General features: G+C 42.7%; 1 protein-coding gene across 3 annotated transcripts in view, besides 2 other annotated features; it reads right to left on the bottom strand.

Moving 5' to 3' along the window:
- Positions 1–3,804: 3,804 nt before the first annotated feature.
- The window catches only part of KIF3B (kinesin family member 3B), a 57,361-nt gene continuing 42,727 nt past the window's right edge, over positions 3,805–18,438 (bottom strand). For all 3 annotated transcript variants that reach the window (NM_004798.4, XM_047440590.1, XM_047440589.1), the window contains exons 6-9: positions 11,932–12,045; positions 11,155–11,260; positions 8,497–8,675; positions 3,805–7,593 (exon numbers count right to left, since the gene is read on the bottom strand). In NM_004798.4, the coding sequence (NP_004789.1) occupies positions 7,497–7,593; positions 8,497–8,675; positions 11,155–11,260; positions 11,932–12,045 (496 nt within the window). In that variant the 3' untranslated portion in view covers positions 3,805–7,496. The remainder of the gene's footprint in view (positions 7,594–8,496; positions 8,676–11,154; positions 11,261–11,931; positions 12,046–18,438) is intronic.
- Positions 4,480–4,539: an enhancer, noted in NCBI's record as "active region_17715". NCBI's record gives its function as "activates an Ori minimal core promoter by ATAC-STARR-seq in GM12878 lymphoblastoid cells {active_cell/tissue: GM12878}" and the evidence as "EXISTENCE:reporter gene assay evidence [ECO:0000049][PMID:35858748]".
- Positions 11,289–12,488: an enhancer, noted in NCBI's record as "CDK7 strongly-dependent group 2 enhancer chr20:30914131-30915330 (GRCh37/hg19 assembly coordinates)". NCBI's record gives its function as "activates an origin of replication core promoter dependent on BRD2, BRD4, P300/CBP, MED14 and CDK7 cofactors, with strong dependence on CDK7, by STARR-seq in HCT116 cells {active_cell/tissue: HCT116}" and the evidence as "EXISTENCE:reporter gene assay evidence [ECO:0000049][PMID:35650434]".

The raw sequence follows: 18,438 nt of genomic DNA, 5'->3' as shown, positions 1-18,438 counted from the left end.
GCTCACACCTGTAATTTGGGAGGCTGAGGCAGGCAGATCATGAGGTCAGGAGATCGAGACCATCCTGGTTAACACGGGTGAAACCCCATCTCTACTAAAAATATAAAAAATTAGCTGGGCATGGTGGCACCAGCCTATAGTCCCAGCTACTCGGGAGGCTGAGGCAGGACAATTGCTTGAACCTGGGAGGCGGAGATGGGGAAAACCACAACGAAGGGCTGGGGAAGGCTTCTCTGAGGAGGTGACATTCAACTGGTTCCTGATGGATGAGAAGGAGTTAGCCGAGCAAAGAATGAGGAGAAAATGTTTCAGGCAGAAGGCATATGGCATGTGTGAAGGTGTGAAGGTGCCAGGCAGGAAAGCACATGGCATAACCCAGGAACCAAATGGAGGCCTGTGTAGCTCCGGCCTCAGAGGACTAGGAGGGCTGTGTGAGGAGAGGAGCCAGGCCTCCTATGCAGCAAGTGCTCTGAATTGCCATCCTTGTGTTTCTGTCTCCCCTCTCCTCAGAAGGGCCATGGTACATCTACTCCCCTCCCTATCTCCAGTGCAGGGCAAGGCCTGGTGCATAGAGGGCACTCAACAAGTGCCTGTGGGCTACACCGTCCCCAGAGATGCGGTGAGCCATCGCTCCCTCTGCCCATTCCTCCAGCCCAACAGCAAGTCCCCAGTTGGCACGCCTAACTGAAGCACCCAGGGACCGGTTAACCACAAGACTAGTGAAAGAAATGGAGGTTGAAACAGGAGCAGCTGCAAGAGCTAGTTACGTCCTTGACAAATGCCACCAACGACCCAGTTGGCAGATGTGACCACCACATGGTCCTTGGAGACCAGAATCTCAGGGTAAGCTTCAATCAGATGGTAACTCTAATATAAGAGGGCCTGCCAAAATCACAGCCCCCAAGACTTAAATTATCAGTCTGAAGTTCAAAATACAGTTTCCAAAATTCAGTAGTTTGTTGATTAAAATTTTAAAAATCCAAAAGATAAAAACAAAGCTGAGTTGGTAGGAATTTCCAAGTTGCCAGGTGCCCCGTCTGTCCTGTATTTCCCCTGATGAATTAGCCTCTGGCCCAACCAAGAATTCTGTCATTTTCTTTTCTTTTTTTTTTTTTAAGATGGATGGATGGAGTTTCACTCTTGTTGCCCAGGCTGGAGTGCAATGGAGCGATCTCGGCTCACCACAACCTCTGCCTCCTGAGTTCAAGCGATTCTCCTCCCTCAGCCTCCTGAGTAGCTGGGATTACAGGGATGTTCCACCACGCCTGGCTAATTTTGTATTTTCAGTAGAGACGGGGATTCTCCATGTTGGTCAGGCTGGTCTCAAACTCCTGACCTCAGGTGATCTGCCCACCTCAGCCTCCCAAAGTGCTGGGATTACAGGCGTGAGCCACCGTGCCCAGCAAATTCTGTCATTTTCAAGAACACACTCACAGTTCTTCAAATCCTACTTTGAATTCTTGCTTTCTGGGTAATGGATTCTGAACTATTCTAAACTAGTAATTACTGAGGCTAAGCCAAGCTGTTTCTTAACTCTTTTTGGAAGGGTGGGGAGTAAACAGACATTACACATAGTTTGAAAGCGTCTTATGAAGAAACACAATTATGAAACGTTTGCCCGAGTCGCACAGGCCACTGTCCCCTTTGTGCTCTTTACATTTTTTGTTGCTATCTTTAAAGTCCTAGACTGTAATCTTTTCTACAGTTCTCCATGCTACCCTCTAGTGAGGGTAAAAAGGGACTGCAGATACCTTCTTGTGAAATTTGAGTTTGTTCTGCAAAACCCTCGCAAACACTGTTCCCCCATCCCTTCACAAATGCCCTTCCCTCCTCCTTGCCCAGCTAACTCCTGTCCTCTAGATCTCACTGTAACTGTCATTTCTTCAAAGAGCCCTTTCCTACTTTACCCACCCCATCTAAATTAGGTCTCCACTCTCCTTTTATAATATTCTATTATATTGGCCACACAGGGTGGCTCACACATATAATTCCAGCACTTTGGGAAGCTGAGGCAGGAGCATCACTTGAGCCCATAAGTTCAAGACCATCCTGGGCAAAATGACAAAATCCTATCTCTATAAAAAATTTTAAAAAATTAGTCAGCCATGGTGGTTCGCACCTTGGTCCGTTACTTGGGGGACTGAGGCAGGAGGATCGTTTGAGCCCAGGAGGTCGAGGCTACAGTGAGCTATGATCACGCCACTCACTGTACTTCAGCCTGGGTGACAGAGCGAGAGCTCGTCTCAAAACAAAAATAAAAACAAAAACCTATTATAACTTCATGACATTTGACACAATTCATAATCATATATTTGTGTGCATTTGGTTAATTTAACATTTACCCATCCTCCATCCCCATTAAAGTGCAAGTTCCATGTAGGCAGGTTCCTGGTGTTACGTCTATATATCTAGTGCCTAGAACAGCTTGACACATAGTAGGTACTCAATACACATTACTAAACAGTTAACAGCTTTTCTTTAGGATTTTCTAAAGATGGTATGTCCAATACTGACTTCTAGTTTCTCGGGACACAAAGTGTTCATGGTGTCTTCTAAACACAGTGCCTTATCACAGCAATAACCACATTTTTTTCACGTTTGCTCTATCCCATACTGTACTTGCTGCTTTAAATGTATCGCTGATCCTCAAAATGGCCCTTCAAAGTGGGGATAATCACTCCACTTTACAGACAAAGGCCCCAAAGTTCAGAGAGGTCAATTAAATTCCTCCTAGTCATATGGCTAGTAAGTGGTGGCAATACTAGAATTCAAACCCAGCTTGGAATCCAGGGTCTGTGCTCCTTCCACCCAGTCCCACTTCTCAACTAAGGGGCACAACCCCCCAGGGTCACTCCAGCAGGCCTACGAGCATGGAAATCCAAAAGACAATGTGTGGCCCATTTTTTGTATCTTCTTTTCCTGATGGTAAACAACATAAAATACTTTAGTGTTAAAAAAGGCACAGATCAGCCTGGGCAACATAGAGAGACCCCATTTCTACAAAAAATAAAAAATTAGCCAGGTATAGTGGTGCACACCTGTAGTCTTGGCTGAGGTGGGAAGATCACTAGCCTGTGAGGCTGAGGCTGCAGAGAACCGTGATCACGCCACTGCATTCCAGCCTGGGCAACAGAATGATGCCCTGTCTCAAAAAAAAAAAAAGGCACATATATTTTAAAGTATGATGTATAATAGTAAATTTAAAAGAATTTTTAAAACAAAACACAAAAGTTAAAAGAAATTTCATGCCGTTGCCCAGGCCAGTCTCAGGAACCTCCACGGAAAAACATGAAAAACACTTATTTGTCACTCTATCATTCTTCATTTTGTGTCCTTTTCCTTGTTGCTACATTATTTATTTATTTTTATTTACTTATTTATTTTTGAGGCGGAGTCTCGCTCCGTTGCCCAGGCTGAAGTGCAGTTGTGCAATCTTGGCCTACTGCAATCTCGGCCTCAAGCGATTCTCCTGCCTCAGTCTCCCGAGTAGCTGGGATGACAGGTGCGCACCACCACGCCCGACTCAATTTTGTATTTTTAGTACAGACAGGGTTTCACCATGTTGGCCAGGCTCGTCTCCAACTCCTGACCTGAAGTGATCCACCCGGCTCAGCCTCCCAAAGTGCTGGGATTACAGGCATGAGCCACTGCACCCTGCCCCTTGTTGCTATATTAAATAATGCCAGCATCCCAACTCAATCTTCATTTTCCCACTCCCACCCAGTTAAAATGTTTATTGAAAATGGCAGTGTGTCAGCCACAGGCATGTCATTTTCAAAAGCCTTAGTCATTTATGAGGACACCTTTTTGTAGGTACAATAAATCTGATTGATTTTTATTACACATCTTAGTTTAGAATCACTTTTACATTCCTAGACAAAGAGATGATACAAATAAATATCAATTGTAAAACTTAGAGCCCCAAGTATTGATTGGCGTATTCTTTGTCTAAAGGTAGCCAAAGAGAAGGTCAAGATCAGTAATAACTTCAAGGAGCCATGAAGCCCACTGCCTCCTGCCTGCCCCAGGATCACTCCTTTCATAAATAACCCCAGAAGCATTTCATTCAGGAAACAAGGGCAGGCAGAAAGGTGACAGATTTCTGAACAGTACAAAACAAAGCCTTGCGTGATAGACAATCACCAGGCCCACTATTCTTAGCCAGTTCCCTCAGAGCATTTTTAGTATGGCTTTTAGAGTATATTAACAGCCCCATTTTCGTCCACTGATGGGGTTCAGATGGTCTGAGGTGTTGTCTCCAGTACGCCTCAACCTCAAGTGGGAAATGTGAGGCAGAACTGATATCCATGTTAACAGGGAATCGACACTTCTCAGAAACTTGGCAACGATTCTACATTCAGTGAGGGAGGACTTGTCAGAGTCAGACAGGAAAAGCAGAGAGCGGCCCACGCCCCAGTTGCAGCACTCTGGCGCCCTTGGTCATGGAGGTGTGGGTGGAGCAATTCAAGCAGCATGCAGGCATTGGACGGGAAATAATCCAGCGTTAGGTCAGTCTTAAGAAAGTGCTTCATGCCTATGATTTGTGGCCTTGGGTTCTGAATCCAGGGGTCTGAGAGACATGTGACTTGAAAATATGAAGCCAGATACATTCTCCAGATCAGAGTAAAAGGGGGTCTATTGGGGGTTGCATACACAGTCTCAAACTCCTTCTCCTGATGGTCATCTTAGATCCTGTTAGACTTGCTTTCTGGCTTTGCTAGCTGCTGCCGGCATGAAGGCCCTCAGACGGCTCAGAACATTCTAGGTATGACTAGAGACATGAAAACCTAGTCCCTCAGTGGGCTTGGTAGGTCCTCTACATATTTGGCTCAATGCAGAACCCAAAACAGCAGCTTTCTGGTGACAGCACGACATTCTACAATCTGCTCTATTCAAATATTTATCGGATCCATTTTGAGAGAAGAAAAGCACCAGAGACTGCTTGGAAAGGGACAGCTTCATTTCCAAATGAGTCTTCTTTTCTTTCCACAGACCACCACATGAACACAGCTGAGTACAAGGCATGCCTGTCAACTTGTCTGTCTTCTCTTAGAAAAGTTCTATGTGTCACTTAACCACCCTTGGTCAGAAGAGTCACCTCGAGATACCAGTATTAATGTATAGGGTTATCTGCAGTTTTCTTTTTCTTTCTTTCTGTTTTTTTTTTTTTTTTTTTTTTTTTTGAGGGGGAGTCTCACTCTGTCACCCAGGCTGGAATGCAGTAGTGTTATCTCGACTCACTGCAACCTCCGCCTCCCAGGTTCAAGTGATTCTCGTGCCTCAGCCTCCCGAGTAGCTAGGACTAGAGGCATGCACCACCACACCAGGCAAATTTTTGTATTTTTAGTACAGATGGGGTTTCACCATGTTGGCCAGGCTGGTCTTGAAGTCCTAACCTCAGGTGGTCCACCCACCTCGGCCTCCCAAAGTGCTAGGATTACAGGCATGAGTCACCATACCCGGCCGGTTATCTGCAGTTTTCAATTCTCAGATTTGCTACATGAATATTTTTAGCCTACAGAATTCAGATTAGCTTTGAGGAAATGTGGTGTGAGAGACACGTGTAACCAGCAGAAAATCAGCTTAGGCTACCCACCTTAGCGTTTTGTTCTTATTCAAACAGGCAAATTCTTAGTAAATAAGAAAGAAGTAAAGTTTGATCTCAAGAAAATATGAGGGAAGGCTGAAAAGGGCCCTGGGTTCAGAAAGAAGGGTTACTAAAAAGGAGATAAGCCGCTGGACAACAGATCTCCATTTTGCAGAATGCTAAGACATTGCACTTAGTACCTCCTGTTTCCCATGGGTTCTGATCCAGAAATGTGCCCTGGGAACTGAGCAGCTGAGTTAAAATATAACTCAAGGCCCACCTGAGTCGCCACCTTCCTGAGGCACCGTGCCAGCAAGGTGCACCAGTGTGGCAGACCTGGAGACTCACTGTCCCCTCAGGCTTGGCTCATGGACTCAGACACCCACATGGGAATGCTTCCAGCCTGGATTAGTCATTCAATGGGCCTTCAATACAGACAAAAGGCAACAACTGCACATTAGTGTATTTCTAAAATTGGGCAAGTTCTTGGTCTCTGTCTCTCTTACAGACACATATGGACACATTCACAGAACACAGGCACCATCGTGCTCTCACACCCACACACACTTATGAGCTTCTCTTGAGGGAAAATGAGTAATATTCACCTAATGACCAACATAAAATGAAGCTCTGAATCTCAATAATACAAGGAACTAAAACTTACAAACCAAACTAGTAATATGTAAATGGGAATTCTGAACTCTCCTTTGAGCCTATTCAATCACACAGCTATTCTTCACCAGCATCTTAGGCTCTGCCTGGAGGGAGCCACAGTTCTAGGATTCGGTGAATTCTCTGCTGAAGGCAGGCAGGATTCCTTTGCTTCCATCTGTTATGTCTTCCCTGCCCACTGCACTGAGTCTCATGTCTCCATCTCTGCATCTGCCTAGCTACTCTTCTGCTCTCTATACCAATATGGAACAAAACGGGGAATTCAGAAGTGCCACAATACAGCTCCTTCCCTCAACTCCAGTCCCATCAGAGAAGGCAGAGACAGCCTCCTTTCTTCCACAAAACAGGCCCACTGCAGAGCATGCTCTGGATGCAGAGGATGGGCCCACACAAGGATGTTCAGAGTATGCGTGCATGGGAAAAGATGGTGACAAATGAAGAGTAAAGTGACATGGTGTATGGACATGGCACCAGCTTACAGACTTAGGTCTTTGACAGGATGGTCATGGTTTTGAGGTTTTAAAGAAGCTATTTCCCTAAACACTCAGAGAAGGCAAAGGGAATGTTATTTCTATTGCTCCCAACATTGAATCATTCAGAAGCAGAAATTGGAAGAGATTTCCTCACTGAGCAGGTCCCAAAGGCAGATCCACTTCTTACTGAGGTGCATGGAAGCAAGACTGCTGATGGTGCCCACCTGGGGCCTGGATCCAAATGCGATTTCTCATTTCTCCCTACAAGAACAGGCACCTATTCAAGTTCTAGGGTTTTCACTTTTCAACCTCACTGTCATTTTATCCCGAGGCTCCAAAGATGTGGTCCTGCTAAGGTGACTCCTGATTCTGCCCTATTGTTCAACAAGAAGGGAGCCCCATGTAAAGAACAGGCTAGAAAAGGAGAGAGGAGAGAAAGGGAGCACAGGGGAAGGGGGAGAAGAAGGCAAGGGGGAAGGAAGCAAGGTCACTGGTCATTCTCTTGCTTTCCACTTGAACTATCGCACTTTACCTTACCCATGCATTTCTGAGATGCTAATTAAAAGATGTTTCCCAGAGGGGCTGAGTGCCAGATTAGGAACAGCACGTTCAACCAGATTAAGTTGGTTGATCTGCAAAGAGGCCACCGCTTCTCCTCAGGGGAACAGTTCTGAGTTTGGGCCGAATCCTCTCTGCAGCTTTTTGCTAGTCTCTTCTCTCAGAAGGCAAATGCTGTTTCCGCCCTGGGAGAGGAGAAGCTGGCTTTACTTTGGAACCAGCCCCCGAGACTGTGGATAAAGCTGAGATGCAGGGGTTCCTGAGGAAGAGGAGGAGGATCCCGACTTCCTTCCACTTTTAGGCCTGCAAAAGTCAAACACATGTTTATATTACATGTCCCCATCTCTGTCCCTGACACATCAGATGTCATTAACATTTCATTTCAGGCCATTCTTCAATGGCCTGAAAACGACAAGTTCAACTGTAAAACCACTACACTGGCACAGCCTGAACCTTTGGGGATGGTGAAAATGGCCTCAGAACAGAGGTGTGGAACCTGAGAGAAGGAGACTCTGATGCTTAGCAATTGTTCTTCTTTAAAACCAAAGCTTGACTGTACTGTCCTTCCCTGATTGATAAAAAAATATTAAGTTTGCAGGTAGAATTTCTTCCATTTTGGTTTTCCACCCAATTGTTTTCCTACAACTTTTAATCCAGGATGTAATAAGACAGAATTACTAGTTTTGCACCACATGGGTGAGGTAAACTTAGCATGGAGGCCCAGAGACTGGGTTGTGGATCTGGATTGACCTATTTTTGAATTCTTGCTTTGGCCCTTACTTGCTGGGTTTCCTTAGAGATGGCTACTTTCTCAAATTCTCTAAGTTTCAGTTTTCTTGTCTATAAAATGGGACTGATTATAATATTTGCCTTCTAAGTTTTTACAGGAAATCATTAAGAGAATGTTTGTAAAGCACTTAGAACTACCGGACACCTCATGAGAACAGAAGAACTGACTGCTATTTCACTAGAACACATTCACCTTATAGTAAGGGACTGGGGACATTAGGTATTCTGGTATTCGGTATACCCAGCATAGTGTCTCAACCATAAATATTTGTAGAATAAATAAGTAAACATAGGAGTAATATGGCAATATTTTCTAGTGTGTTCTGCAAAGTATTCCATGATAAACAAGCATTCTTGCTTTGGTTTGTCCTTGTTCAAACATGTTCTGTTTAAACACACGTCATCAAAGCCACTCACCTGGCCTTGGATTTCTTATTTGCAGTGCTTTCAAATGATGATGCATCCACCTGTATCTCATCTTCATCCTGCAGAGCCGCATCCAATGCAGCCTGGACCTTGGGGGCAATGGCTGGACCCTCATAGTCTCTGGTGGTCCGGCTGGGCATGTCCAGCTCTAACAGCACAATGTTTTCTGCCTGCAGAAGCACAGCCATCACCAGCTAGGTTAGCCTCCAACTGGACACAGGCAGTACAAGCAATCGAGGGCCCCTCCAAGAATAGAAGTGCAAATTGCTTGTTATTCAGGGCCTATCAAGAAAGAGCCTGCCTGAAAGAAGTGATGCCGTTTTACAACACCTAACTCCACCTAATTTTTTGCTTTTGCTTTCTTTCTTTTAAATAACTCAAAGCCAGGAAGAATGGCACCCAAAGAGCTAACTAACCGTAATCTTCTGTTTGGCTCTGGCTGCCAAGAGAGACTCAGAAACATCTAAAAATATTTCAAGTGAAAATCTTTCACTATAAAAATAATACAAGTTCCCTATTGATAGTTATAAAATACAGATGAGCAAAAAGAAAAAAAACATTGAGTGTGCTTCCACCAACCAGAGAAAAACAGTTTACATTTCAATATATTTTACATCAAATTTTATATCATATATATACTTCTGGTGTAAATTACTCTATAACTTAATACGTTGTGTATCCTAGTTCAGCCACTTGCCCCACTACTTGACCTTTAAGCAACAGGACTGAATGCATAGAGAAGATGGGGAAACTTAATTAGAGAAAGCAGTCAAGTGCTGGGTACAATGCCCAGCACACAGCAAGTGCTCAGCTGGGCATGGTCATCCCAGTGCTTTGGGAGGCCAAGGCAGGAGGATCACTTGAGCCGAGGAGTCTGAGGATACAGCGAGCTATGACTGTGCTACAGCACTCCAGCTTGGGTGACACAGTGAGATCCTGCCTCAAAAAAAAAAAAAAAAAGAAAAAAAAGGCCAGTGCGGTGGCTCACGCCTGTAATCCCAGCACTTTGGGAGGCTAAGGCGGGTGGATCACCTGAGGTCAGGAGTTCGAGAGCAGCCTGGCCAACATGGTGAAACCCCGTCTCTACTAAATATACAAAAATTAGCTGAGCGTGTTGGCACATGCCTGTAATCCCAGCACTCTGGGAGGCCGAGGTGGGTGGATCACCTGAGGTCAGGCATTCAAGACCAACTTGGCCAACATGGTGAAACCCTGTCTCCACTAAAAATACAAAAACTAGCTGGGTGTCGTGGCATGTGCCTGTAGTCTCAGCTACTAGGAAGGCTGAAGCACCAGAATTGCTTGAACCCAGGAGACAGGGGTTGCAGTAAGCAGAGCTCGCGCCACTGCACTCCAGCCTGGGCGACAGAGCGAGACTCCATCTCAAAACAAATTAATTAATTAATTTAATTTAATTAAAAAGTAGAGGCTCTCATGGCAGAGTTTCTATTTTTCTATTTTGGGGTCATTAAATAGTCCTCAATGATGTCCCTTTAAATGACTACATGACTGACACACATTTTGTGAGATGAAAGTACCTGAAGTTCTTTACGACAGGTCCATCTCCTGTCACTACACATCTGTGTTCTCTCCAGCCTTCCCACAGAGCCATTTTGAAGTTCATTGTTAATATTTACTGGCCATGACAGACAGGATGTTTGTACTCTCCTTCTCTAGTACTGACTTTTTTTTTTTTTTGAGACAGAGTGTCGCTCTGCCACCCAGGCTGGAGTGCAGTGGCACGATCTTGGCTCACTGCAACCTCCGCCTCCTGCCTCCTGGGTTCAAGCGATTCTCCTGCCTCAGCCTCCCGAGTAGCTGGGATTACAGGTGCCTGCCACCATACCCGGCTAATTTTTGTGTTTTTAGTTTTTGTTTTTTGTTTTTGAGACGGAGTCTTGCCCTGTTGCCCAGGCTGGAATGCAGTGGCGCGATCTTGGCTCACTGCAAGCTCCACCCGCTGGGTTCACGCCATTCTCCTGCCTCAGCCTCCCAAGTAGCTGGGATTACAGGTGCCTGCCACCATACCCAGCTAATTTTTGTGTTTTTAGTAGAGATGGGGTTTCACCACGTTGGCCAGGCTGGTCTCGAACTCCTGACCTCAGGTGATCCACCAACCTCAGCCTCCCAAAGTGCTGGGATTACAGGCATCAGCCACTGCGCCCGGCCTATTAGTTATTATTTTTATTATATTTACTTATTTATTTTTTGAGACAGGGTCTCACTCTGTCACCCAGGCTAGAGTGCTGTGGCATGATCTTGGCTCAATGCAGCCTCTGCCTCCTGGGCTCAGGTAATCCTCCCACCTCAGCCTCCCAAGTAGCTGGGACTACAGGCACACACCACCACACCTGGCTAATTTTTGTATTTTTAGTAGAGTTAGGGTTTCGCCACATTGCCCAGGCTGGTCTCAAACTCCTGGGAATCAACCAATCTGCCCACCTTGGACTCTCAAACTGCTGGGATTACAAGTGTGAGCTACTGTGCTCGGCTTATTTATTTATTATTTGTTATAATTGTTATTGGTATAAATGTCTTCAAGTACCTCTGGAAAGAAGGTATGAACTCTGAGTGGAATAGTATCTAAGGGCTTACACAAATCTAGACTCCAAAAGAGACAGGAGAAAAACCCAAGAAGGATCTTCTCACCCTATATCGGGCCTCTGGACGAATCATCATGGACATTCTTGCGTGCTGGCTCAATGGTCTCTTATATCCCACGGCTGAGACTGGCCGCTTCATCATCTGCTGGTTCCTGGAAATGAACTGCAGTGTTAAAGCCCTGGCTGGAGTCCTGTGGAACCAGCACTCGGAAGACACTGACAGAACCTGAAGCAAGTAACTCCCTGGACTGCAGGCTGACGTAAGTGGGACGGGAAATGCTTCTGTTTTCTGCTTGAGTTGCTTTCTGATTCAGAGCATCATGCATCTTTTAAGCCAGAAGAGATTTTTAATCATCACCCAGTTCTTAGACAGCATTCACAAAGCATAGCTGTCAACACCCCCCACCTCTGCATCCCTGCCAGGTGTCTCCCATCTTTCCAGCAGCACCCAGACTTAGCATGAGAATCCTTCTCAACACTGTGGGTCAGAATGACACACAAAGATAACAGCTCTGAATTGCCCCTTACGTGACCTAGCATACTTCACTTCACAGCTGGAGAAACAGAAATGCAGGAACTTTGGAAAGGTCACTTGCTCACTCACTAGTGACAAAGTCTCCCAATTCCTAAAACCACACTCATGATCAAACTTTTACCTGGTGGATCTATGGCAGCTAGAAAATCAGTAATGCAGTGGGTTTTGAGTTTAAATAAGCCAAACTGTGTTCTTATCAAACCCCTTTGTTGACCAGAGGGCTCTTGTTATCAACATTCTTTTCCTCCCTCATACTTGAAAATATACTTGAAGTTAATAGTGACTTACTCCAGTCTGGTTATAGGATGTAGTTTCCAATGATCTTCCTCTTCATCAAAGAAGGCTCTATTCATAATTTTACTTTTTTCTTCCAGAGGGATAAAGTTTTCTATAATAAGATGCCTGTAAGAGCACACATAACAGGTGAAAACAGATACAGAATACATATGAAGTGTCAGCTATCTGGTCTCATGCATGGTGAGTAATCAGGTAAGAGTCAAGGCACATAGCAAACATTTACTCAGCAAGTACGATGGGCCTAACATCATACAAAGAGCTGAGATACAGACACAAATGACATCTGGCTCCTGCCTGAAACAAAGGGTAATGGTGCAGCCCTGTTAGGTATAATAGGTACTGACAGTGGTCTGTCTTAGAAATATGGAGAGGTCACTTCTGCCTGGGAAGGGGCAGGATGTGAACAGGCTCAAGAGGGAGGTGACCCCTGGGCTATATTGGAGTGAACATTTGCTACCTGAAGTATCTTTCAGAGGGCCACTGGTGCTGATAACCAAGGTCATTAACTTCCAAAATGCCAAAAACAGAAGAAATTAAACTGCCTTACTCCAATCCCATGGCTCGTTGTCCAAGCTGGAAAATTTCCCATTCTAACTGACCAGGATAAAAAGCAGGACTAAGTGGATTTCAGCCCCTGAGAATGAAGACCATTCCTACTAACAGTCTCTGTCTGACAAGTGCCCAGGAAACACATCAAACAAGGAAACTGGAACCCACTGGTGGTGTCTCTCTATGGTGATGACTGTCTCCCATTATATCTCTGCCTTTACTCTTCTAAAGCCTCAGGACAAAACAATGCCAAAAGGAAATGAACATGGAAGGGACACAAAGCAAACAGCACAGAGGTATAGGGTACTGTGAGAAAGAGGCTGACTCACTGTTTACTCAAAAGATATAAAAAGAGATATAGGCCAGGCACGGTGGCTCATGTCTGTAATCCTAACACTTTGGGAGGCCGAGCCAGTGGATTGCCTGAGGTCAGGAGTTCGAGAACAGCCTGGCCAACATGGCGAAACTCTGTCTCTACTAAAAATACAAAAATTAGCTGTGTGTGGTAGTAGGCACCTATAATCCCAGCTACTCAGGAGGCTGAGACAGGAGAATCACTTGAACCCAGAGGGCAGAGGTTGCAGTGAGCCGAGATCACACCACTGCACTCTGGCCTGGGCCAAAGAGCAAAACTCTGTCTCAAAAAAAAAAAAAAAAAAAAAAAAAAAAAAGAGAGAGAGAGAGAGATAATAATGAAAATAGACTCCTTAGAAAAAAAAATATTTTGGGGAGCTAAAATTTTCTCTTTGACATTTCAGAAACTATTTTTTATAACACATATTTGGCTTTCTTCTGGTTACAATGATTCTATTTATTCATTAGAAAATGTAAAAAACAGGCCAGGCCCAGTGGCTCACACCTGTAATCTCAGTGCTTCGGGAGGCCGAGGTGGGTGGATCACCTGAGGTCAGGAGTTCGAGACCAGCCTGATAAACATGGCAAAACCCTGTCTCTACTAAAAATATAAAAATTAGCCGTGCGTGGTTGACCTGCACCTGTAATCCCAGCTACTTGGGAGGCTGAGGCATGAAATTCACTTGAACCTGGGAGGCAGAGGTTGCAGTGAGCCAAGATCGTGCCACCGCACTCCAATCCGGGTGACAGAGCAATACTCTGTCTCAAACAACAACAACAACAAAAAGAAAATGTAAAAAACATAATCACCCACAATTTCACTATCCAGAGATAACTATTATTATTATGTTGGTATATTTTGTCCTGATCTTTTTCTAGATGTACATACCTGCAAAGAGGACTGACCGACACACACATTTAATTAATTAATTAGTTTTTCTGGAGACAGAGTCTCACTTTGTCGCCCAGGCTGGAGTAAAGTGGCGCAATCTCAGCCCACTGCAACCTTCGTCTCCCAGGTTCAAGCGATTCTCGTGCCTCAGCCCCCGGAGTAGCTGAGACTATAGACACATGTCTCCATGCCCAGCTAATTTTTTTGTATTTTTAGTAGAGACAGGGTTTCACCATGTTGCCCAGGCTGGTCTTGAGCTCCTGAGCTCAGGCAATTTGCCCACCTCAGCCTCCAAAAGTGCTGGGATTATAGGCATGAGCCACCGCACCTTGCCTACATTTAATTTTAAGGGCTCTTTTCCAAATTTAAAATTTGATCATTAAAAGAATCCCTTTGAAAACTTCTTCTTTGGCCAGGCATGGTCATTTTGTAACCCCACTAATGAAATAATGGATCCAGACAAAGATCATCTGTTGGCTGAAACTATTAGCTCCACATTTCTCAGGCCAGGCTGCACATTAACGTTACCTACAGAGTTTTGAAAAATATCTTGCCCAGACCTCATGAGAGACCAAGAGTTCTCAAAGTGCATTCACCAAACCAGCAGAAGCAATACCTGGAACCTACTAGAAATGAACATTCTCAGGCCCTGCCCCAGCCTTTCTGAATCAGACTCCGGGTGTGATACCCAGCAATCTGTGTTTAACAATCCCTTCAGGTAATTCTGATGCCTGCTAAAGTTTAAGGACTACTGCCCTAGACCAATTAAATCAGAATCTCTGAGGTGGGGCTCAGACATCATTAATTTTTAAAACTTCTCAGTTTGTAGCCAAGGTTGGGAACCCGTGCTTCAGAGATAGCTTTCAGTTAGAGCTAAATAAAGGGGATAGAGATACAAGTTAATTGACACCATGAAGAAAGAGACCAACAAATCCAGAATGTAGTATATTTCTTCTTTTTTTTTTTTCTTTTGAGTTGGTGTCTCACTCGGTCACCCAGACTGGAATGCAGTGGCATAATCTTGGCTCACTGCAGCCTTGAACTCCTGGGCTCAAGCAATCCTCCTGCCTCAGCTTCCCAAGTAGCTGGAACTACAGGCACATGCCACCACTCCCGCCTACAATGTGGGATATTTCTACAGGCTATCTGATTCAGTCTTTTCAACAAGTCAACTATGAAAAATATGTATATATATACTTTTTGAGATGGAGTTTCGCTCTTGTTGCCCCAGCTGGAGTGCAGTGGCACAATCTTGGCTCACTGCAACCTCCGCCTTCCAGGTTCAAGCAATTTTCCTGCCTCAGCCTCCCGAGTAGTTGAGATTACAGGCGCCCGCCACCACACCCAGCTAATTCTTGTATTTTTAGTAGAGATGGGGGTTTCACCATCTTGGCCAGGCTGGTCTTGAACTCCTGACCTCATGATCCACCTGCCTCAGCCTCCCAAAGTGCTGGGATTACAGGTACGAGCCACCATGCTCGGCTGAAAAATATTTTTAAAAATAAAAAGAATTGGCTGGGCGTGGTGGCTCACTACTCGAGTAGTCCCAGCTACCTGGGAGGCCGAGGCAGGAGAATCACTTGAACCTGGGAGGCAGAGTTTGCAGTGAGCCGAGACCGCGCCACTGCACTCCAGTCTGGCGACAAAGTGAGACTCTGTCTCAAATAAACAAATAAATAAAATAAAAAATAAAAAGAATTGCCTCAGATTAAAATAAGTCTAAGAGACTTAATAACCAAATGTAACATGTAGTCCTAATATGTAGATCTTAAAACGAGCAAACCAAGAAAATCTGAATGTGGATTGGGTACTAGAAAATACTAAGAAACTTAATTTTTTTAGGTATAAAAATATCATTGTGTAGACAAAAATCAATTATATATAAATATAAATATATATAAATATATAAATATAAATATATAAATATAAATATATAAATATATGTAAATATATAAATATAAATATATAAATATATATAAATATATAAATATAAATATATATAAATATATAAATATATATAAATATAAATATATATAAATATAAATATATAAATATATAAATATAAATATATATAAATATAAATATATGTATATATAAATATGTGTATATATATAAATATGTATATATATAAATATGTATATATATAAATATGTATATATAAATATATAAAAATATATATGAATATGTATATAAATATATAAAAATATATATGAATATGTATATATAAATATATATAAATATATAAAAATATACATATAAATATATATAAATATATATAAATATATATATAAATATATATAAATATATATATAAATATATATAAATATATATATAAATAAATATATATAAATAAATAAATATAAATATATATAAATATATAAATATATATAAATATATATAAATATATAAATATATATATAAATATATAAAAATATATATATAAATATATATAAATATATAAAATTTTTTTTTTGAGACGGATTCTCGCTCTGTCGCCCAGGCTGGAGTGCAATGGCGCAATCTCGGCTCACTGCAACCTCCGCCTCCAGGGTTCAAGCGATTCTCTTGCCTCAGCCTCCCAAGTAGCTGGGATTATAGACACCCGCCACCACGCCTGGCTAATTTCTGTATTTTTGTAGAGACAGGGTTTCACCATGTTGGCCGGGCTGGTCTCAAACTCCTGACTTCAGGTGATCCGTCCACCTGGGCCTCTCAAAGTGCTGGGATTACACGTGTGAGCCACCATGCCCAGCCAGTATTTTTATATACTAGTAATTAATATTCCAAAAATAAAATTAAGAAAACAATGTCATATACCATAGCACCCAAAAAACCCTTAGGTATAAATTTAACAAAAGTGTAAGAATTATACACTGAAAACTACAAAACATTCTCGAGAAAAATTAAAGAAATAATAAATAAATGGAAAGACATCTCATGTTCATGGATCTGAATACTTAATACTGTTAAGATTACAATATTGCCCAAATTGATCTACAGATTCAATGTGATCAATATCAAAATCCCAGCTGGCTTTGTTTGCAGAAATTGACAAGCTGACCTTAAAATGTAGAGGCATACCTCAGAGATACTGTGGGTTTGGTTCCAGACTACTCCAATAAAGTAAGTATCACAATAAAGCAAGTAACACAATTTTTTGGTTTCCCAGTGCATATAAAAGTTATGCTTACACTATACTGTAGTCTATTAAATGTATAATACCATTTTGTCTACAAAAAGTATAGACTTTAAGAATACTTTATTGCTAATAAATGCTTACACAGAGACATGAAGAGAGCATATGCTGTTGAAAAAATGGTGCCAACAGACTTGCTTTATGCAGGGTTTCCACAAACCTTCAATTTGTAGAAAATGTAATATCTGTGAATTATAACAAAGCAGAGTGCAGTAAAACAAAGTATGTTTGAATATGGAAATGCAAGGGACCCTGAACAGTCAAAACACTCCTGAAAAAGAACAAGGCTGGAGGACTCACACTTCCTGATTTCAAAACTAACAAAGCTATAGTAATTAAGACAGAATGGTACTAGCATGAGGATAGATATATAGAACAATGGAACAGTATTGAAAGTCCAGAAATAAATAAATAAATGCTTAATTACGGTCAACTGACTTTCTTTTTTTTTTTTTTGAGACAGAGTCTTGCTCTGTTGCCCAGGCTGGAGTACAGTGGCATGATCTCAGCTCACTGCAACCTACACCTCCCAGGTTCAAGGGATTCCTCTGCCTCAGCCTCCTGAGTAGCTGGGACTACAGGTGTGCACCACCACACCTGGCTAATTTTTGTATTTCTAGTAGAGACAGGGTTTCACCATATTGGCCAGGGTGATCTCGAACTCCTGACCTCAGGTGATCCACCCACCTCGGCCTCCCAAATGCTGGGATTACAGGCATGAGCCACAGCGCCCGGCCCTGACTTTCAATAAGTATGCCAAGACAATGAAATGGGAGAGAAAAGCCCTTTCAACAAATGGTGCTGGAACAACTAGATATCTGCATCCAAAACACTGTACTTGAAACCCTACCTCATACCATACACAGAAATTAACTCAAATGGATCATAGACCTAAATGTAAGACCTAACACTATAAGCCTCTTAGAGGATCTAAGAGAATGAAACATGCGTCCACAAAAGAAACTTGAATATGAATGTTCACAGCAGCATTATTCATAACACCCAAAAGTAGAAATAACCCAAATGTCCATCAAATAATGAATGGATAAATAAAATGTGGTATATTTATACAACAGAATATTATTTGGTCATAAAAAATGAATAAAGTATTGATACATGCTACAACATGGAAGACTGTTGAAAACACTATACTAGCTTTGGCAACACAGCAAGACCCATCCTTATGAAAAAATTTTAAAAAATTAGCCAGGTGTGCTAGCATGCAACTGAAGTCCTAGCAACTCAGGAGGCTCAAGCAGGAAGATTACTTGAACCCAAGAGGTCAAGGCTGTGAGCTATGATGGCACCACTGCACTCCAGTCTGATTGACAGAAGAAGGCCTTATCTCTAAAAAAAAAAAAAAACTAACAAAACACACACATGCACACACACACACACACACATATGAAGAAAGCAGTCACAAAAGGCCACATTATTCCAACATTATTTCATTTATAAACTTATATGAAAGGTCCAGAAAAGGCAAATCTAGATACAATACCAAAAG

The sequence above is a fragment of the Homo sapiens genome, chromosome 20, assembly GCF_000001405.40.
Source record: "Homo sapiens chromosome 20, GRCh38.p14 Primary Assembly".
NCBI lineage: Eukaryota > Metazoa > Chordata > Mammalia > Primates > Hominidae > Homo > Homo sapiens.
The sequence above is the reverse complement of the archived record's forward strand: the minus strand, read 5'-3'. Positions and strand labels throughout refer to the sequence as shown.